This window comes from Homo sapiens, chromosome 1 (assembly GCF_000001405.40).
Source record: "Homo sapiens chromosome 1, GRCh38.p14 Primary Assembly".
In the NCBI taxonomy this organism is placed as follows: Eukaryota; Metazoa; Chordata; class Mammalia; order Primates; family Hominidae; genus Homo; species Homo sapiens.
Window position 1 is genome coordinate 36788331 of NC_000001.11, and position 22522 is coordinate 36810852.

Below are 22522 nucleotides of genomic sequence, written 5' to 3' on the forward strand. Positions count from 1 at the left end.
TTTTCACATCTGTAATATGGAGATGACATCTCTAGCGTATAGGGTTATGCTGAGAATCCTATGAGATGGGCATGCTCAGAGCCAAGCACAGTGCCAGGTCTAGAATTGTCACTCAGTTAGCTGCATCCTGTTGTTATTAGCATTATTAATATTATTATTTTATTTTTATAGAGATGGGGTTTCACCATGTTGCCCAGTCTGGTCTCAAACTCCTAGACTCAAGCAATCCACTCACCTTGGCCTCCTAAAGTGTTAGGATTACAGGAGTGAGCCACTGCACCCAGCCCATTATCATTATTGATATTCTTATTATTATTGATAACAACTTCTCCTGGAAAAGACCTGAGCACTAAGAGCTCTGAAGCCTTCAGTCTCAGATGGGAGGATGATTCTGAGTGCAGAAGAGGTCTGTCCCTTGGACTTCACTGGGGCTGGAGGGGTCTGGATTGTGCAAGAGGACACAGAAAGTGACATTTGGATTATGGTGACTGCTGTGGCCTCATCGTTACCTGCAGGCAAGTGGGGCTGGGAAGCTTCAGGTTTTCCACATCTTTAATTTTACCACTGCCCAGCTCCTGGGAAATATGGAACTGGATTAAATCTCCCTACAGAGAGGAGAGTGCCTGCACAGGGCACGGTGCTTAGAAGGCTCTCATGAAATGCTTGGCTCTGTCCCAGAGGATGTGTTATTGGAGTTTAGAGAATTCTTAGTGATCTGAGGCTGAATTAGTGGGAGGGAGGGGAAGCTGGTTCTCACAGCAAAGGGCAAGTAAGTCTTTGGGCTAGACAGACAGAACAGAGGCCTTCTACCTCCTGAAGAAAAACCTCTCCACATCTGCGAGCTGCTGAACTCACCGGGAAGAGGGTGTGCTTTGCCAACACACTTTATGCTGGGACGAGATGATCTGGGAGGTAGTCTGGAGCAGGAAGACATTGTAGGGGCTGTCAGCGAGGCCAGAGCTGCAGGAAGGAGTGTGGGGGGTCTGGGGTCAGGTGGGAGTCTGGGCAGGGACCCTGGGAGCCTGAGCTTGCCCAAGGTCCAGTGAGGCACTATTGGCTTTTAGAGCCTGGGAGGCAGAGAGCCCTGGGTTAGACTCTGCCCTACCACATACTCCCTGGACCTTGGGCAAGTTATTTGGCCTCTCTGAGCCTCCGTTTCTTCATCTGTGACATGGGGCCATAGCACATACTGTCAGTGTCTTGCCCTTACCCCTTCTGGGCAAGCTGCCTGACTTCCCACTGCAAAGATGGGCACTGCTCTGCCTGAGGCTTTGTCCTGGCCCAGAGTCCACCTTGCCCCCTTGTGGCATGCCAGAAGTACCTGGGATTGGCTGTCTCTGGGGGACCAGTCCTAAACCAAAGATTGATAGGACTTGGTGTATACATACCCCAGCTCCCTCACTCCTTCAATGGGAGATTCTTGAGTTGCATGTTCTCTGCTGGCTCCCAGAGTTCTTCATGGAGTTAAGTTCCAGCTGCCCACAGGGTTGACTGGCTTGATGTTGTACCCCTTATAAGCTGGCTTCCCTTTGGCATCTCACATCCCTATTCCCCTATCTTTGTCTTGTATTCAAGCCCTTGTCTCAGGGGCCTCTTCCAGGAGATCTCAAACTAAGGGGATAATATCATGCTTTTCTCCTAGCACTATGGGCATGATGTGAATCAAGTAGCTAACATATTTCGCTTCCCATCTTTTCCCTTATATCCTGTTGGGTACGGGTAACTTAGTCTTCAAGGGGCTCTGGCTATTGGGGAATCAGGGACAGAGGCCTGAGCCAAGTGGGCTGACATTCAGGTCTTTGCAGATAATGGGCCAGGGCACTCCTGGGATGGAGGCAGGAGCTAGGGGCTTGTCTGGTGGGAAGCCGAGTGTTGCAGGTGTGGTGGCTGCTCCGGAAGTCCTCTCCGTGGGGAATCCTCATCTCGGATCCTTTCTGGAGGCCGAGGCAGGCAATAAATCCCCTTGGTAGAGCTGGTCCCAGCATGGGCCACCCTGCAGAAAGGCTTCATCAGCGGCCTCATTTGCATAAGATAATGAAACCGCAGTAAAAATAGTAAAAGAAAAAATGGCCTGGCAACTTCGTTTCCATAATGACAGATGCTTCTTAAACATTCAGCTTCTGTTTCCCAAAGAAGTGCCATCAAAGCTCCAAGGGAGCCATGTACCCTGGCCCAGCGTGGTTCTTGGAATAGGGGCCTGCAGCCCCTGGGGCGCTCCAGCCCTGACCTCCTGCTGCTCCTTGGCTTGCTCCAGATGGACCTGAGTGGCAGGGCGGTAGGAAGGGAGAGAGGGGAGAACTGACTGAAGAGTGAAGGAGCTTCACAAACAGCCCAATGCCTCACACTTAACACATGCTTTCACATGTCATTTAAAAAATTCTCACGAGCTCCCTGTTACAGTCAAAATGGGCACTCCCAATGCACAGGTGAGTAAACTGAGGCTTATGAATTGTCCAAGGCCATCTGCTTAAATTAAGATGGTAGAGGGATCTTAGAATTTGCCCCCTATTCCTAGTCCCTGTCTCCTGTCTGGGCACCTCCATGAGTGACAGGAGGCCCTTTTCACTGGGAATGGCTGGGGAGAGGGCAGGTCCCAGACCTAGAGGGGGGTGGGGGACCTGTGGGAGGTGGGAGCCATCTCCACAGGTCTCAGACCCCTGTTCCTTGAGCAGGGTGAGATGACCAAGGTCAAAAGAAAGGGGCCACTGTGGGATGGGACTCTCCCAGACCTAGAGAACAAAAATAACCATATCAAAGTGTGCTTCAGAAATATTTTGTCCTCTTACCTCCAAGCCACCAGGGCTCTGCAATGACTGCCTTGGAAGCAGAACTAATGACAATAATAATAGTAATGAATAAAATAGTGGCATGGGCACTGTTTCCCCAGCTCAGAGGAAAATCTCTAGTCTAGTTGCACTTGGCTAGGGTCAGGGGTTCCCTGCCATAGCACCTCCTTTCCTCTAAGTGTTTGGGGCAGAGTCCTGATTTCCTGATTCAGTGAATGAGGGCTTGGCTGCATGGGTTGGGGAGAATGGGAACGGAGCAAGTTTTCAGGGCACAGATGGTCCTGACTCATGCAAGATGGCCAGTGGGAGTCACCTGGATGCTAAGGCAAGTGTCATTTTGAAGCCACTAAGCAAGACATCTAGAGAGGCACCTCTCCAGGCTCTGTACTGGACTCATGCAGGTAGAGATGGTGGGTCCATTCCTCAGGGCTCCCTGGGGCTGGCAACTGAACCTGCATGTTCTCCCAGAACCTGGGAGGCCTCTGCAGTGGGCTCCATCTCTGTCTGGTGGTCCCTCCCCAGTTCCCTCCCAGCCTGTGGAAACTTTGGCCAAATTTGAGAGGTAGTGGAGAGGAAACTTCCAGATGTTTTGGGTCGTAGACTGGGACTAACAACTTTGCACTTAAAGCTGAGTATTTGACCACCTTTGTTTCCTGATTCCTCTGTGCCTGGGCTAGTTTCCCCCTTGGCATATTTGGGAGGGGTCAAGTCATTCTTTACCTTCCCTCCACAGTAATAGCTAACGTTGGCTGAGATAGACTGTGTGCCTGGTGTGGACAATCTCATCAAATCCCTATAACCTTCCTCAGCGAGGTATGGTGGTGAGCACCTGTGGTCCCAGCTACTTGGGAGTCTGAGGTGGGAGGATCACTGAGCCCAGGAGGTCGAGGCTGCAGGGAGCTATGATTGTGCCACTGCACTCCAGCCTGGGCCACAAAGTGAGACCCAATCTCCAAAAAAAGTGTGGGAGAAAAGAAGACACAGAGCAAGAAGCAGAACCCAGGAAGCTGGACTCCAGAGTCCCTGATCTTACTGCTTGGGGAGGTTTGCCCATCAGTCCTAGCAGAGGGGTCCTGAGCGAACTTGAATCCTGAAGGACTTGGGGCATTCCTGCCAGCATAGATATTCTGGGGCTAGATAAGACAGAAAAATATGGAAGTGAAGTGGGATGCTCAGTTAATCAACATTTCTGATGGGGAACTAAGGACTCAAGGGAGGATTCATTTCTATGATGCTGTTGAATGGGGTGAGCGGGGCTTGTGCCTTCAGAGCATGGAGCAGGAGGGTTCCGAGGCCTGTGCTGCATTCAGTGACCCCTCCCCACACGCCCCCACCATCATCCCACCACAGCCCGGCCACTTGCTGTGCTGGCAGCAGGCCAAAAGCCCAGCAGCCCCTGCGAGCTGTGGCCAGTGCAGACACCCAAGTCTGTCCCAGACGAGTGGACCCCAGCCTTCATTTGAACAAGATCCTCAGGGCATTTTCAGAAGTGTGGGTCTACAGTGACTCGTCAGATATACCTGTTCTCTGAGAACTCCACCATCCAGCTCTCTCTGCTGAAGGAGTGGGTGGACGGTTTGGAATTGGGACATTTTCACTGACATGGGCCCTGAAGCTGGGGGGACCTGAACCAAGATGGGGGTGGCCATGTCCTGCCTTGAGCAAGGAAGCGGAGGGGGGAGGAAGGGAATGAGAGATAGAAAGAGAGAGAGGGAGAAAGATAGAGGGAGAGAAACTTGACTGTCTTCCGTCAGACCCCTTATCATGAAGCCCCCTTTTTGCCCGGGTGAGTTTGAGTAGGTGTCTGTTTCTTGCCACAGCAATTCCTGACTGAGGGGCCTCCTTGAATGTCTTGCTCCAATTCCTGACTGAGGGGCCTCCTTGAATGTCTTGCTTCTGGGGACTGGTGCACTAGAACTAGGAGCCCATGTATGTCCTGGAGACGAGAGGAGCACAAGGCATTAGCCAAGGAGAGGCTGGGGCAGAAATGGCTGAGGTTATAGAAACAGGAGCCTGAGCCAGGACAGCTACATCACTGCTCCTGCACCCATTGTGCAGTCAGTAATCTGAGAGGCCTGGCTGGCCCCCATCCAGAGCCGAGGATATCACAGATAGGCTTCTGAGTTAGGGTTAGTCCTGGAGGGAGGAGTCCCCCTGTCTATCCAGAGAGCACTCAGCCCATAGTAGCTCCTAATTTTTCTTCTCCCCATCTTTCTCCCTTTTCTTAATGAAAATAGCTGGCATTTATGTTGGCTTATGATGTGCCTGCCCTGTGCTAAATATGCAGTGTGCTTTTTCTCGTTTAATCCCCACAAGCACTCCATGAGGGGGCGGCTTTCACACTCATGCATTTTACAGATGAGGAAACAGGCTCAAGGATGTGAAGTTGCTTCTTCAAAGTTACACAGCTAGTAGCTGGTAGAGCTGGGACTCATACATAAAATATTTAGTTAAGTCTGTGAATGAATGAATGGATGGATGGATGAGCAGATGGATTGATGGGTGGATGGATGGATGGGTGGATCAATGGGTGGGTAGATGGATAAATGGATGAATGGGTGGATGGATGGGTGGTGGATGGATGGATAGGTGGATGGATGGATGGGTGGATGGATAGGTGGATGGATGGATGGGTGGGTGCTTGGATGGATGGGTGGGTGCATGGATGGATGGATAAAAGGGGGGATGGATGGATGGGTGGATGGTTGGGTGGATGGATGGGTGGGTGGATGGATGGATGGGTGGATGGATGAATGGGTGGATGGATGGATGGATGAATGGATGAATGGGTCCTCTACCTATTCTTTCACCCCCACTGTGGGCCTCATTTCTACCAGGTCTCTTGTCCATATCCCCCCACTCCTTGCTGGACCTGCAGCCTAACCTGACCTTCAGGGTGCTCCTCTCCAGGGATGGTCCCGACCTTGCTTCTCAATGGCTGACACCTGCAACCCAGGGCCTTTCTTCACCTCCTACCTGGCTCAGACCAAAGTCTCCTCCTGGGCTGTGGCTCTAGGTTAGACCAGAGCTCCCAGACAATGTGGCCTATTGGGCCCCGACCTCCTCTCCATTCTGCAGAGATTACTGCTGGGGCCGTGGCTTGGCTTCCCTGGCACTTGTCAGCTGATGGAATGGGAGGTGCATATTTTAGGAGACCTGCCAACTCATGTTGCCTTTTTTTTTTTGACTTCTCCAGTTTTCTCAACTCTCCTAAAGCAGGGATCCTGGGTCCCATAATTGTATTACGTGACCCCTTTCTCCCTCGGGCCACAGCTAATTGGACCACAAGCGGCCACTTGACCCAAGCTGGTGCAATCATAGCCACTTTCCTGGTAATTAGGCCTGGGACACTTAAGCCCGTGTCAAGGGTGGTGGACATTTGGACTGAAAAGTCACGCAGAGTCAGGGTCTGAGATGTGTCAGGGTTTGAGGGACATCTCTCATTCAAAATAGATCATATGTGTTAAGAGCTTAGCCTACCACCTGCCACATGGAAAGTGCTCAATAACCATGAGCTATTTTTAAGATGATGTCATAGGAGAACATGGAAGGTTCTGGTTGGAAAGGGGTCTCTACCAATTCAATCTGTTTGAATGAGAGTTGGAGGCAGAGGTGAGGCAGAGGCCACCTTCCCACTCCCTTTTGGGCTGTTTCTGTCATGGGAACATGAGGTTTTTCAGCAGCTTCAGTCCACTACTCATCTCCAACTTCCTGGGTGCCGAGGAGCACTATGATGTGGGGTGGTGGCGGCCCCCGTGTCTTGATGGAGACTTCTTGGACCCTGGATTGCAGCTCTAGGGTGTGTCTTTCCCTCCCAGCTCTGGCACAAGGCTCAGAGGTGGTCATGCACTGGTGGGTCAGTTCTGTATTATTCTGGGAGCCATTCCTGGAGGACCAAGTTGGCCAGGCTCCCTCATCTCTTCCACTGGTTTTATAAACCTCCATACTGAATCCCTTCCTGCTGGAAATGTCCCGCCCTGTACTCTGATTGTATGAGCAGTTTCCGTCTCCAGAGGGCAGTTGACATAGAGCTTTCTCATTTCCAGTTTGAAAAAGCTCAGGCCAGACTGTGGCCAAGCTGGGATAAGGTGTCTACCCGACCTCACTAGCTGTGACCAAAGGGACAGGGCCACGTGAGTAAGTATGTGGCAACTCCCAAGGGAGTGTGTGGATGGAGATGAGGGAGGGGTGTTGCCAAGGGAAGGGAAGACAGAGGTCAGACAGTCTCAAGGACAGACCCCACATCCTCAATGTCTGAACCAGGAGCCTGGCTGGAGCCACCCGCCTGCTGGGCACCAGGGTCTCTTGCCTGGGACACAGTCATCCCTGGGGGAAGATGACAAAAGTTCGTCGCCCAGCACCTTCTCATTCTAAGGAGAGAAGAGAAACAGAAAACACGCCTCAAGGGAGCCCTGTTTTCTAGAAACATTTTATTTAAAATTTAAAACCATATTACTTCATACAGCAAACTGTGCACTTTGATATATCACAGTGTCTTAAAAAGGAAAATAATCAGATTTGTTTGGAAATTTATTTACATCAGCCTAGAATGATTGGCAAGTAACACAGTTACTATGAAACCCAAATTGTTACAAAATGTTTACAAAAAACTATATTCATAGAAATTCTGCATGTCCACAAAGGGCATCCCCTGAATGGCCCAGAGACCAGTGTGTGGGAACCATGTTGAGTGGGAGTGGGGGGCGTCCAGGCACTCTGGTCTGGGTGGTGGGACAGGTCTAGGGTCTCAGAGGCCCATGGTGCTCCCTGGGGGCTCAGCCCAGAGCCTGGGAACTGAGGCCCCTACCATGGGAGGCCCAACCAGGAAGTCGGCCCAGGCAGAGGTGGGCTGGGGGCTTGGCGCACAGTGGTAAGAGGACCCATGATCCCTACGGAACCAAGACAGGATGCTCCTCATGGGGCTGGAGTCAGGCGTGCTTGGTCAGGGCCCCAGAGGCAGACCCAGAGTTCAGTGCAGACCAGCCTGACGCCTGAGGCTGAAGCTGGGGCAGGCTGCTGACTGCACGGAAGCCCACCTCAGATATCTCCTCCCCTGCATGCTCCAGAGATGCTCAGACCTGCGAAAGAGGCTAAAGGAATGGAACTGCAGAGAACAGACCGATCTGGGTGAGCCAGGGACAGAGATCTGCAGCCTCCTGGGGAGGGGGCACTCTGCCAACTGCCCTGCCAGGATGCCGCAGGGGAGAGAAAGGCAGACAGATGGAGCCTGGGCTGTGCTAGGATAGGAGCTACCTTCTTGCCTCTCATCTTTCACCCCTCTGGCTCTGAGGTCGCTCCCTGACAGCTGGTCTCTGGGTCAAATGGGGCTGGGGAGGTTGTCTGAGGCAAGGCAAACCCTTGGCTGGCATTTGACTGAATCTATGGCTGCTTCTTCATGTCTGGAGGCCTCAGAGTTTCAATCCATAAAATGGAGACAATCTGGGAGGTGATGTGAGGTCCACTGTTCTAGAAGGCAGGAGGACAGGATCAGTAACAGGGGCATGGGAACACTGTATCGGCATGCTGGCCATGCCCTGGGGGCATTCTCTTTAACAAGTGCTTTCCCTAGTTGTGAGCTGTGTTGTGTGCAAGTTGTGACTGCTTCTGCATGTGGGTGAGAATCAGAGGCAGAGGCTTTTGCTACCTAGAATAGCCCCGCCTTCTAGGGTATCCTAGATGGAGCCTGAAACCTACCTGTGATTCTGCAGGCAGGTGTGAGAACAGGCCTGGGGAGTGGCCTGCTCTTTCCCAGCCCTTCTGCTCCTGATGAATTGCCCCAGAACTAGAATGTAATATTGGCACAGGGGCTGAGTACTAGCATGACATTGCTTCTCAGACACACCCAGCTGTCCTGCCTCAGACAGGCTCGGATGGAGATGAGGTCCGTTGGCCATTCCTGCCCCTCCCACAGGAGGCCCTGGCGGTGCAGGACTCACCTGGCAGCACCATGTAGCTCTGCCCTCTTCTTCAGGGTCTGGAGCTCTGATGTGTGGAGGGCCTTCGCCACCCCAAGGGGCTCTCTGAGACCTCCGTCCCAGACTTTGCTGCTGCAGCCCCCATCTCTCATCTGGTCCTCACCCGTGCTGGCTGGGTTCTGTACACTCCGTGTGCAGACGTGCAGGAAAGGGTTGTATACACATGGGCTACAGGTCATATATACACTGTGCATATATATATATATATACAGTATATATATATATTTTACATTCATATATATATTGTACAGAACATTAACCTTCTACCTAAAAGTTTTGTGACTCACGTATGACCTCAGCTCTGAAATTTTTACTCCAGGGCAAATCCAGGACTGAAGGGAAGGCCTGATTTAAACTGCCATGGGGACAGAGGGCACGGCCCTTCCATGGCAGCCAGCAGCCGGGCCACTTCCAGATGTGTCCACTTGACCTGCAACTTTCAGATGTGTCTAATCCAGAGACCTGCCCACAGAGTTGGGCTCATTTCTTGTATCTGTCCATGAGGCTGGGCCCATCCCAGATGATAAGTCCATGCAGCTGTTTGTCCAAACCTCTAGCCCCTTTGCAGATGGGTATCCACACAGGACCACTCCAGATGTGAGCCAGAGAGGCCAGCCTACTTTCAGATGTTTGTGCATGTAGCTGGGAGTGGCTCAGGGAGGGACCAACTTCATGCTGAGTGATGAAGCAGGAGCTGTGACCCACCCCCCACACCCAGTACCCCTGGAAAAGTAGGCAGAAAGGGAGCTTTTGATCGTTCTTGGTGAGTGCACGCCTGGTGGAGGGGAGCAACTTCTAACCTGTTTGGCCCTTTACCCTGGCCTGGGCCAGGATTCCCATCTTCCAGGGCCTAGGGCATGGCAGGGGTTGGGGGTGGAGCCAGAGTGTGCTTCCAGGTTAGATAGAGTCTCGGCTGTGAGGAGGGGGTGGCCCTCTTACCCCTCAGACACTCAAAGTCCAGCACACTGGCCAAGGGGGCGTCACCCCTCGCGAGAGACTCTTGCAGCATGGGGCCACTTGAACATTGACAACGCTTTCAGGATTTTCTTCTGTCCAGAGCAGAGAAACCAGCAGCAGGACAAGGGGAGAGTGATTGGGAGGGCTCACTGTCCTTAGTCCCAGGGCCTCGGCAGGGGCGGTGGGGTTGGTGTCTTCTTACCACTGCCCCTCAACTTGGCCAGCTTGAGCAGGTGGAGAGGAGGCACTTGCATTTGGGGATGCAGTGGGGACATTCTTCTGTTCAGGGCTGGCATGTGGCACCACGCAGGGACAGTCCAGCATCTGCTCAGGCAGGTTCCTTCTTCTGCTCCATCCAAGCAAGCTTTCATGCTTCCCATCACCTCTCAGTGCCTGCGTGTGTGCACACACACTACACATGCATACACACACATACACACACACGCATGCACCTGCCCCAGCTCAGCTCCATGCCCACTGGCAGGACAGACCTAAACTTAAAAAAACACAAGATCTGCCTCACTGAAAACACCTCCCCACTCCGTCCCACCTCACAGATGTAGCATCATTTTCAGTGCCCCGGGAGAGACAGAGCTCATGCTTGGGCAGCTGTGGTCCCCACTGCACTTTGAACACTAGGCTGGTCTCTAGGACAAATGCAGGATATTGGCCAGAAGCCAAATATCAGCCACACCGACAACACCTGAACATCAGGACGCAAGGTTTGCCTGGGAGAGGAGATGAGGCAGCATGCCCTCCTGCTTCCACACAGGAGTCTAAAGACCAGTCGGTACATTTTGGGGGGTTTCTCGAATTGAATTCTGCCTCTATTTATCCACTATTCTTTGTTCGTTTTATAAAAATTCTCACCACTTCTTCTTCCTCCTGTCACAATCCACATATATGCATAGCCTCTGAAGAACATGCTCATGTAGCATCACACACACAACACATGTGTGAGACAAGAGCAAGAATGAGGCACGTGCTCTGAAACTATACTGGACAAAGTAAGACGGCGCTTAATGATTGTGTTTGCTGACAGCAAATTGGCAAATACCTTCATTAGAATCCTGTTACCTGGGAATTACAAAAAAGAGTTTTCCCTTCAAACAGGACATGATGTCCACAGCAAAGGCATCAGCAGCATGAGCCCCTGAAGGGTTGTGCCCCCGTCTCCTGGCAAGTGTGCCCATGCAACCTTGGAACCTCTCTGTGACAAATGATCTCTCCCATGACAGAAGTGCAAACAGACCCTGGTGCCCGGCCTTCCTGATTGTCTGTCTTTGCTTCCACTGTGACCTGGAACATATGTGTGTGTCCCACACACTCGGAAACTTCAACTCCACGTGGCTTCTTGTCTACAGCATGCATTGACCCATGTCACACGACTCTCTGGTCCTGGCCTTCCCCCCGCTCCCCACTGTGCACACATGCCTGTACACATGTGTTCACATGCACTCAGACATGGACCCCTTGGTGACATGGCTTCTCCTTTTACGCATATTTGGCTAGCTGCAGGTAAGATCCTGATCTCCATCCTATGCCATTCAGTGTACATGTGCACACACACACACCAGCATGCACACACCTATGCATGCATGCATGCTTACATATGCATACCCACCAGGGCCCCATTATGACATGGCTTCTCCTGTTTTTACATATATGGGGCCTTGCTGCTTCACATATTTGTCTCCCTCGTCCCCAATTCACTCAGATACACATACGCACGCATATGCACACATCAGATCCCCAAGGATTCACCTATTATTGCATGCCCTGGACTATGTTATATGTCCAGATCTGTCCTGTGCCCCAGCCCCCGAAGCTCACACATACAAACACAAAGACACAGACACACATGCACACGCCCTCTGTACCCTGAAGCTTATGACAGCATGGCTTTTCCTAACATTACATGCATGGGGCTTTGGTGTATGTCTAGCCCTCCTCTCCCTCGTCCAATGTACATAGCCAGTCAGAGCTGCTAGGATTCTGGGAACCTGCTGGTTTGGTCCTGCAGCTCACAGTCTGGAGGAGGGACAGTGTTTATCACATGAGCCCACTGTGGTCTCCTGCTTTGCTAGAGATTGCCCTTCACCCAGATGAGAAAGCCCTTGAGATCCAAATGAAGCTCTTCCCTAACCGGGCTTCCCAAGCAGCATGGGACAGAGGTGGGAGGGGAGTGGCTGGTATGCCCCAGTTCTCATCCAGAATCCCCAGAACCTCCCTCCCCTGTTCAAAACCTGCCCCTCCATCCTTGGCCATGGTAACCCTGCTGGCCCATCATGTTCTCTTTAAGGACACTTTGTTCCTAATCCTTCATGTCTCATTCTTTTCCAAGACTCTTAAAGTCACAGACCTCTAGAGCATTCATCACAGCAAGCTGGAACTCATAGGTCCACCCCCTGGCTGGTACCCAACCTGCTGCTACTTCTCTGCTGTCTTCCCCAAGCCCCACAATGCCATAGCTGCTCTGGACAACAGACAAGGGGCCAGGATGGCCTCATGTCTCTGTGTGGGGTCTTTGGTTAATTCTCCAGGAGGCAGCTTCTTCCTCCCCACCCTTGGGGCCTCTGCCAGCTATGATATTATGTCCCTGGAAACTTTCTTTTCCTGGGGAGCATCTCTAGGTTTGGTAAGTCCAGGAGACCAGAAGTTCTTTTGGTCTCTTCTGGTTTCCCTCACCTAGCCCAAAGTTAGTCTGTGTAGTAGGACACTAACTCCTTTTTTGAGGAGGGACAACTTGACTTTCACTTCAACCAACTCTTCTTTCAAAAAGACAGAGTGAGGCCAAGGTCAACCAGCCAGGAATGGGGAGTTGTTGATGAGAAGATGGCAAAGAGCCCAGGTTTCCAAATGTGAACAGGGTTTAGACAACAGCTTGCTAACCAGGAAAGTGAGATCCATTGGCACAAGAGCCGGTGGGACTTCCATGGAATCTGCTTTTCCTCTGCTGGGCTTCAAATACCGGCTGCATCTTTGGGCATCCTTTGTGAGAAATTCAGGGGGTCCTCTCTCCTCTGGCTAGAAAGTGGAGAAGAATTTTCTGTGGCCACTCCCCCACTTATATTCTTAGAGACCTCCTAGAGGATTAGGAACCACTGGGTCATTGTCCATAAGAATCCAAAATGGCGGCCTCTGTTTGTGCATTCTCTTCTCTCCCATACCCCAAACTCCTCTTTTCCCCTGTGTAGCTCTGTCTTCAACTCTGCCAGAACAGGGGCTGCCAGGGGCAGCGCCAAGTTCAGAAGATTAGGACCACGTGAACAGCCCCAGAGGGATGAAGTCTTCCTTCTGCCCAGGCATATGGGATGGGTATCCCTCACCATGAGCTCCCATTGGCAGCCATGCTAGAACATCCTTAAGGCGCCGAAGGCTTGTGTCTCTGGCCTCACGGTCAAGCTGTAGGAGGCCTGGGCTCTTGTGGAAGAAATGGCAATATAAGAGCTGTCTTCCATTTTCTGTGCCCTCTGCAGGGCTGCGGCAGAAACTTCTGACTCTGGAGGAGAGTTGAGGGGCAGGTGAGTTTGGCCTGAGAGAGGCATGTGCTTCCTTTGGCCTTGGCTATCTCGGCTGGCAGCTTTAGAAACCCACAGAAGATCTGAGGAGGATGAAGCCCAAGCAGCTGGCCTGAGAGCCTGCTGGCTTCCTGGCAGGTAAGGGCAGGAGGCTCCTGGCCCAACAGGCAGGTGGCAGCTCTGGTCCCCAAGCCCAGTGCGGGGACAGGGGACGTTCCTTCCAATCTCCTTTGCTTTCCTCTGCCCAGCCCCCAGGCCTGAGGTCCCCACCCCAGCTGTGCCTAGGGGAACACAGGGGCTAAGGATGTGCTGCAGGCCATGCTGTCCTTGCCGGGAAGCCGGCGGTCATTGAATGTGTGCATGTTGATGACGGCGTCAGTCTTGACCATCATGGGAGGCTGAGGCTTGTGCTTGACTCGACGCTGGCAGGTAAGGGAGAAACGGATCTCATCGGCCACGGTGCTGCAGAAGGAACGCTGCAGGAGGGTGGAGGAGAGGGGTCGGAAAAGGGGCACAGAGTGATGCCCGGTCTTGCAACTCCAGCCAGTTCCTCCCCTTTCTCCCAGAGTCTGTGCTAAGGTTACCCGTCTTTCTCACACCTTCACCCCACCCATCCCTCTGCCACCTGCAGGATGATTAGTTTGTGCAGCAGTCTACAAAACCTGACATTCTTGTTTGGAGACTAAGGTAGGTGGGGCATCATCTTAACCTCATTTATACATGAGCAAACTGAGGTTCTGAATGGCATGCACATTAACGTCTGAGGAGCTCTGGTTTACCTGTGCCATTTTTCTTCACTAGACTCGGAGGGCAGGAACCAGCCAGTTTCATCCCCATGGGCCCAACTTTCGAGCCCTGACCAAAGCACTAGCTTTGGCCCAGGGTCAGGACTGAAGAAACATTTGACGAATGTATGGATAAACTTTCTCCTGGAAGGGCTTCCAACTAAGGGGAAGAATCAGTGTCTTCCCACTCAGGGAAGTCCAGCACATGTTTCTCAAGGTGGAAAACTGGGAGGCAGGTCCCTCTAGGGCTGTTGGGTGGCAGTGACCTTCTTTTGGCCTGGGTCCCTGCACATAGCCAAGAGGAACATCAAGAGCGCAGCGTTTCCCGCAGGTATCTGATGATGGTGGCTTCCAGAGGTTGTCCTGCAGCTTGCATGGAAGGCAGTGGGGGATGCTGATATCTCAACTTACCTAGTGAGGCCAGGGCACTAGCACCAGGACTACTTGTGTGCAGGGGCTGGGGACTAGGCTTTGTATTCTTGCTCTGCCTCCTACCAGCTGTGACCCTCCAGGCTTCCCTTTCCTCACCTACTACATGCAGAATGTCATCCCTCCTTGCCTCCTTTTCTTCATTCCACAAATACTTAATGCGACCCTACTATGTGCCAGGCACTGTTCCAGGTGTTAGGCATGCAGCAGTGAAGAAGACGGATAAGGCCATAGCCCACTCAGGGAGCTTGCGGTCTAACGATGAGATGGAATAGATAATGAACACGTGAACAAATAAATAATTTCAGACAGTGACAGCCATTAGGAAGAGAATCAAGCAGTGAAATGGGATAGAGAGGGGCTGGAAATGGGGGCAGGTGAGGAAGGCTACTTGAGGAGGTAACATTGGAACTGAAACAAGAATGACCAGAAGATGTCAAGAACACACCCTCTGGGGGAGGAGCATTTTAGGAGCAGCATGTGCAAAGGGCCTAAGGCAGAAATGTGCTTGGTGTGTTCAGGACTGAACAGGAGTGGAGCAGAGTAGGGGAGGAGAGTGAGGGAAGGAAGTGGGCAGAGAAGTGGAGTAGACAGATCCTTTAGGCTTTTTGGTGGAATGAGGAGCTCTTTTTTATTTTCATTTTTTTATTATTTATTATTATTATTTTTTGAGACGAAGTCTCTGTCTCCATGCTGGAGTGCAGTGGCGTGACCTTGGCTCACTGCAACCTCCACCTCCTGGGTTCAAGTGATTCTCCTGCTTCAGCCTCCTGAGTAGCTGGGACTACAGGTGCAAGCCACCACGCCCAGCTAATTTTTGTATTTTTAGTAGAGACGGGGTTTTACAGTGTTGGCCAGGGTAGTCTCAATCTCTTGACTTCGTGATCCACCCGACTCGGCCTCCCAAAGTGCTGTGATTACAGGCGTGAGCCACCGCACCTGGCTGGGAGCTCCTTTTAACTGTAATGGGAATTCTCAGAGAATTTGATTGTTGTTCTTTTTTGATGTATCATAATTTTGTATCAACAGAGAACCATTCTCTGTTGTTAGACATTTAGGTGTTTACCCCTCCCTCCCATCTCTTCGTGTTATAATTTACACTTCAGCAAATTTCCTTGTAAATAAAACCATGTCTATCTTTGACCACTTACACAGTGTACATTTCTAAAAGTGGAAATTGACAGGCCAAAATGTATGGATGCTGTGGAAGACTCTGAACATACCGTGAAGTTGCTTTCCAGAAAAGTACCTGCATAGACTTCCCTCAGCAATGCTGGACAGCGTCCCTTCGGTTACACCCTTGCAAATTCCAACATCGAGTATTATCTTTCCCCCTCCTCTTTGTTGACTAAGGCTTGCTGGTTATAGAGGATTCCATTTCGTTTTTTACGGATATGTAAGTTGCTTGTTTATAATGGGCCCTTCTATATATAATTTAACTGCAATATCCTTGAACTTCTCTGTGAGTTGTGCTTCCCCCAGCCCAGCGGCCCTCATCTCGGGCACACATTTAAATCACCCTGTAGGGTTTTGTAAAAGCATAATGCTGGCTCCACCACAGACCAATTAAAACAGAGAGTCTCTGGGAGTGAGTCCAGGGCATTAGCACTTGAAAACTTTCTCCCTGTGATTCTAATTTGCTACTGGGACCCAGAACTACTGCCCAACCATGCTTGAATTAATCAGAAGGCCTGAGCCTAGTTCTACTGTCTATATGCTTGGGCCAACCCTGTTAACTTTTCCTTTTTAAACTTTTGATTATGGAAATTTCCAAATATATGCAAAGGTAGAGAGAACAGTATAATGAAACCCTATGCAACCATCACCCACCTTCAACAATTACCCTGGAGGGTTTTATGCAGGAAAATGATATGGTTTGAATTAAGTTTTAAACAAGGTACCAGTTGCTGTGTGAATTGTGGATGGTGTTGGGGAAGCATGGAGGCTGGAGGGCCAGTTTGAAGGCTGCGGCATAATCCAGGCAGGAGGTGATGGGGCTTGGCCTGGGGTGGGGCAACGGCGATGGAAAAAAGTGCCAGGTCAGGACAGAGGTAGAGTGGCAGGGCTTGCTGGCCGACTGGATGCAGGGTGAGCTGTTGTGAGGCTGAGATGAGACACCACTGTGTGCCTGGCACATACAGGAGTGAAATCAGCGCGAATCTCCATTTCCCATCCTGTGCAGGCTCCAAGCTCTAAGGCTTACCTGCTCTCTCTCTGCTGTTTTGCGGAGCTTGTACACAAACTCGCCCACGGCCACCAGCACAGAGAGGACCAGCCCGGCGGCCAGGACAATGAAGATGCCCCCGATCTTCTGGATCCCCAGGGCACTGGCCTCTTTGTTTTCCTCCTCAGGACACCCGCTGCCCCGCCACCACTTCTCCTTCATGATATGCAGCTTGTCCTCCTCCTGAAGCTGCAGGATGGCGATGGTGATCTTGTCCCGGTATGGGGAGCCTGAGCAGGGAGAAGGGACCCCTAGCCATCAGTGGCGTGTGGCCCATTCTGTGTTTGGCTCTGCCAACACCCTGGTCAGGTCACCACCACTAGCCCTCTGGATCAGCTCATGAAAGGGGGTCCCTATCCCTGTGAGTCCCCTTTAAATCGACGCATGGTATCTGGGTGAGTGGAAATGTCCTGTTTGAGCAGGGAGGTTGTGCCCATTGTGTATCAGTCCCTGTGGGCTCCCTGAAGTCCCAGTGCCCCTGAGCTGCATCAGCAGGGGCAGGGGCAGGAGAGGGAAGGCAGGAATGGCCTCTGGGAACTGTCCCCAAACCTCGCGTCTGTCCCAGCTCTCATTGCTCAGGCCAGGGCCACCCTCACAAGGCATGCAGCTCCATCCCTCTGCTTCTGGGCTGAGAAAATGTCACTTTTGTCCAGGTGCGGTGGCTCATGCCTGTAATCCCAGCACTTTGGGAGGCTGAGGTGGGGAGATCACGTGAGGTCGGGAGTTCGAGACCAGCCTGACCAACATGGAGAAACCCCGTCTCTACTAAAAATACAAAACTAGCCAGGCATGGTGGCACATGCCTGTAATCCCAGCTACTCGGGAGGCTGAGGCAGGAGAATCTCTTGAACCCGGGAGGTGGAGGTTGCGGTGAACCGAGATCATGCCACTGCACTCCAGCCTGGGCAACAAAAGCGAAACTCCACCTCAAAAAAAAAAAAAAAAAAAAAAAAAGAAAAGAACAGAAAAAAAAGAGAAAACGTCACCTTTATCAGCCCCATGGAATGAGCTGTGAGACGGAGTGTGAGGGGACGCGGGGGTGGAGCCCTCCCTCTGCCCACACACCCACCCCTCCCACAGGCAGCCCCTCGCTCACCCATGGGCGTGCCGATGCCGTAGCCCTTGGAGTCAATGAGGCCCCCGATCTGGGTGAGGTTGCAGTTCCTCTGCGTGACGTACTCGATGGTGGTGGACTCCATGAGCAGCGCGTAGTCGGCCGTCAGGGCCCTCTGGATGCCCTCCTCGTTGTTCTTCACCAGCGCCGATGGCTTGCTGCTCATGAAGGCCCACATCTTCTCGAAGGTGGAGATCTTGGATTTCTGGGCCGTGAGGGAAGGGGTGATGCACACACCGTTACTAGGCGCACCAGGGACCAAGCACCGCATACCCTGCACAACGTGGGTTGGGGCCTTGAACTCGGTCTACAATCTTCAGAGAAAGGAAGTGCTACACGGTGCTCAGATATAGAAATTGAGGCCCCGGGGCAAAGGTCCCCAAACACACAGCTGGCCAATGATAAAACGGAAATGTAGACTCAGGCCTGCTTCCTGGAAACCCTGGCCATGGCACAAGTGGTCTTCAAGCTGACTTTTTAAACATGGATTTTCTTTCTCTAAAATTTATTAAAAGTTAGCACGTTCAGGCTTTGTTCTAAGTGCTCTACCTGCATTAACTCGTTGATTCTTCACAGCGCTCACAGGAGGCAGGCACCATCACAAGCCCCATTTTACAAATAAAAAGATTGAGGCACAGCTAAGTCACTTGCCTAAGTTTACCCAGGTACTAAGTAGCAAAGCCAGGCTTCAAACCCAGGCCATCTGGCTCCAGAGTCCATACCCCTAACCCCTCAGCTGCCCTGCCTCACAGAAACCACTGTGAGGGTGGAGGGGGAGAGACAGCTGCTCATCGGGGCAAAGCTGAGTGGGTCCTGGGCCTCCCCTTTCACTTCAACCAATGGAGGCCTCTTTTATGTCCTGTTTCAGGGGAAGATTTTGCCTCAGACATGTTCTACTTCATTACTGTGAGGAAGGAGCAGGGTGCGAATTGCAGAGGGGGAGAAAAGTAAGGGCAGTCAGGGTAGGTGGTCTGCAAACCCCCTTCAGCTACACCAGAGCCCAGGGCTGTAGGGTCCTGGGCTGGACACTGTTGCTTGAGCAGAATCAGAATCCCTAAGACCAGGTCCAGTTGGTAGGATGCAATGCCTATGCTGGGGAGACGCAGAGAGGTCACTGGGGCCAGGAGAGAGGAGGGCAAGGGCTGAGTGTCCCTTGCTGCCTGGGGAGACTGTGCAGACCAGGGTGCACGGCATTCATGAGATTTCTTGGGAACTTAGTGCTTTGCCAACTGCCTGCTCCCAGCAGGGATCAGCCCTGTCCTGGCTGATCTCAGGGGAACAGGTGGTTCTGCAGGCCCCACTGAGCCCGGCTGGTTCCAAGTCTAGCTGTGTCTGTCTGTGATGTCAACCTGCCTGACTGGCACCCGGCCCAGCTCCAGTATGCCTGATGTCATGGGTGCAATTGAACAGGCTGGCGCAGGACTGGGGCATGGGCAGGGGGATGGGGAAGAAGCCATGCCTGCTGGGAGGGAGCTAAGGAGCCTGGGAGGAAAGTGTACTTTCTATTCTCCAGGTGCTTCCTAGATCTGGCAAGGGCTGTCCCCTCCTAAACTGGCTTCTAGAGACCCAAACATGTCCTGAGGAAGAGCAATGGGGACAGGAAGGGGCCCCAAAGCCACAGGCAGGACCCCTTAGAATTACATCTGAGCACCATATCAGTTGAGTGCCAGTGATGCCTTCTTTGGGCACAGGGCTGGGGGCACCTTCACAGATAAGCAGCCACTCCCCAACCTACAAATTTACCTGCCCCAAAGCCAAAGGCATGGAAGGGCCCAGATGCCTGCAGCTCTCACTGGCCTCTCCCAGCCCCTCCTAGTCCTCAGCCTGCCCTTCTTTCAGCCATTGCTACTCTCCAGCTACTCCAGCTCTGCATGACTCTCTTACCTCTGCAATCCCTGCCTCCAAACCTTTTGTGCTCTCCGCTCTCCCACTTCCTCAGCTATTCTTCCACCTCAGTGCTTCCTGTGGCCCAGGCTGTGCCCCACGCAATATTCTTGCCCTTAAAAATCTTCCTGGTGTTCAGCTCTTCTGCCTCCCCCAATGTTTCTTATTTTCTAGAAAATTTCTGATAAGCAGATTCTCCCACCTCCAACCTCTTTTACTCCCTCTGTTCCTTTCTTACTCTGCTACGCTGTCTCCCCAGATTCTCCTGTTGTAGAAAGCTTCTAGATGGCTCCTACAGATCCCCATTTCTGGTATTCACACCTTTGTGTAATCCCCTCTTCTTGAATGTGAGCTGAAACTAGTGACTTGCTTTTAACTCTCCACAAAAGTGATGGGATGTCATGTCCAAAATTAGGTTACAAGAGACTGTGACTGGTACTCTCTCTGGCTCGTCTCACTCTGATGGAAGCTGGCTGTCATGTTGTGAGTTGCCCTATGGAGAGGTTCCCAGGGCAAGAAACAGAGGGCAGCCTCTGGCCAGCTATCAGTGAAAAACTGAAGCCCTTAGTTCAGTCACCTGGGGGGAGCTGAGTCCTGCCAACAAGCATGCAGTGAGTTTGGAGAACATGCCTTGAAATGACTGTAGCATTAGCCAACACCTTGACTGCAGCCCCATGAGGGACCCTGAGCCAGAGGACTCAGCGAAACTGCCTAGATTCCTGACCCACAAGCTGTGAGATAGCAAATATTGTTTTAAAACATGAAGTTTCGGGTAATTTGGTATGCAGCAATAGATAACTTATACACCCTCTCAACCACATAGTCACATAAGCGACTTCTGCTCCCAGTATGGTTGCTTTTTCAGATAATCATCAATTCCAACTATTCTTCTAATCAAAGTATCCTAGTCCAGTCATCTCTGCTTTGCCAGATACACGTGTTCCTGATACTCTACCATCCTGGTTATTGGAACCTAAATACTTTTCTCCCTCCAGTGATTGCAGCTCTTCAGTTCCTTTCCATCCTTGTCTCTTCTGCTTTCCCAGTTCTCCCTCTACTACTAGAGGTGAGAACCAAAGGTAGATGAAGCAATCAGACCTCCTAATGCATCTGCCCATCTAATCTATCCTTCCAATTACCCATCAACCCATCCATCCATCCATCCATCCATCCACCCACCCATCCATCCACCCATCATCCATCCATCCATCCATCCAACCACTCACCCACCCATCCACTATTGTATCTGATCATGCTATCATCCACACACCATGTACATACTAGTTAATTCAACTAATCTGACTATCCACCTATCTATTACTTATCTATCCATCCATTTATCCATCTATCCAACCATCTATCTATCCATCCATCCATCCGTCTGTTCTCTTACCCACCTATCCATCCCCCAATCATCCATCCCTTTCTCCTTCTCACCCATCTTACCCACCCACTCTCCTATGTCACCCACCCTCTCAGTCATCCATCCAATAAATCTCAAGTCCTGAGAAAAGTAACTTGACAATGAATCACTCAGGAAGCCCCACCTACTCCTTCTGTCTCAGAATGGGATAAGCACTTCTTCTCTTTCTCTAAACTCCTCCTTGTATCCTCCCCACACCCCAACACTTTATTCCTCCTATATACAGGCCTGCCTGACACCAAACCATATGCTCTTTCCAGTAACACAACACCATAGATGGAGACAGAAATTTCAGTTGGGGGCTGAAGGGAGTGTTGAGGCAGATGGGCTCTGAGGAAAGACACAAGAAAGGCACCAGTGGGTAAAGGAACTGAATGAGGAAGATGGGAAAGGACACCAGAGAGCTTGGGCCAGTGAAGATGCAAGGTGAAAACAAGGCATGAAGCTGGCTGTGACGTTAATTTTAAGAGGTTCCTGGTTCTGGAGCCTCCTGGCTCCAGCACCAACTAAATTATTACCTCCATCACCTTCAGGTAGATGTGTCTGAAATCTGCTTTCCTAGAATGGTCCCCACTGTCCTTGTCTTCTGTCTTGGGGCCCCCCTTCTCAACCCCATCTCCTCATGGTCTCTGCTTCCCCTTAAGTGCTGTCCTTCTGTCCTTGAGCAGTTGAGTGATTCTGGGGCACAACCCTGTAAAGGTTCCTTGTGGCTTGTCTAAGCAGGGATAGATAAATCCAGAGCCCTTCATGGACTCTCAGGTCCCTCTCTCCCATCTCTGGGAGAGTTCCCATCACAGGCCTGAGTTCCCATCACTGGCCAGAGCTATCATCACCACCCTAGGGAACGAAGTCTCACATACCTACAGCTCCTGTGTCATCCTGCCTGTCCCGGCCCTGGTTGGAACCTTAATAAAGATTGTTTCAGGGCTAGTCACCCAAATCAACTAATGGAATCATCTGGAACAACCAATACACGGCGGTGTGCCAGGACAGAGATGCTTTTTTTATCAGCAAAATTGGCAAGAAAGTAAATTTCAGGCTCACGACTTTCAATTCCAGCCTCCTCAAAGAAGCAAATTGATTTTCCCTGACTGAAGATACTTAATCTTGAGAATTTAACATTTCTGTACAAGAGAATGTATGTAAGTCTATATATATATAGCAATTCCAAAGGGAGCTGAATTTCAGAGAATGTGTGCAGAGATGCAGTAGCAATGGGATTGCATACAAGACCTTGGTTGTTTTCCATACTGGAAAGAAGACCTTTTTCCATATTAATTGGCTTTCTTATCTCTGAGTGTGGAATCTTTGGCCTTACTGGATCCATGGATTTGAGCAGTTTATCATTTTTCTTGGGTCATTTCTGTGGGGACAGGAGGCCTCTTTGGAGTCCATGGCCTCTGCCCACTGCTACAGGCTCCCTG

The 22522-nt window shown here is 51.4% G+C and overlaps 1 protein-coding gene across 1 annotated transcript in view; it reads right to left on the bottom strand.

The window, feature by feature from the left end:
• The window catches only part of GRIK3 (glutamate ionotropic receptor kainate type subunit 3), a 238989-nt gene continuing 223663 nt past the window's right edge, over positions 7197 to 22522 (bottom strand). Inside the window, exons 14-16 of the mRNA NM_000831.4 lie at positions 17774 to 17996; positions 16657 to 16907; positions 7197 to 13715 (exon numbers count right to left, since the gene is read on the bottom strand). Of these exons, the coding sequence (NP_000822.2) occupies positions 13521 to 13715; positions 16657 to 16907; positions 17774 to 17996 (669 nt within the window). The 3' untranslated portion in view covers positions 7197 to 13520. The remainder of the gene's footprint in view (positions 13716 to 16656; positions 16908 to 17773; positions 17997 to 22522) is intronic.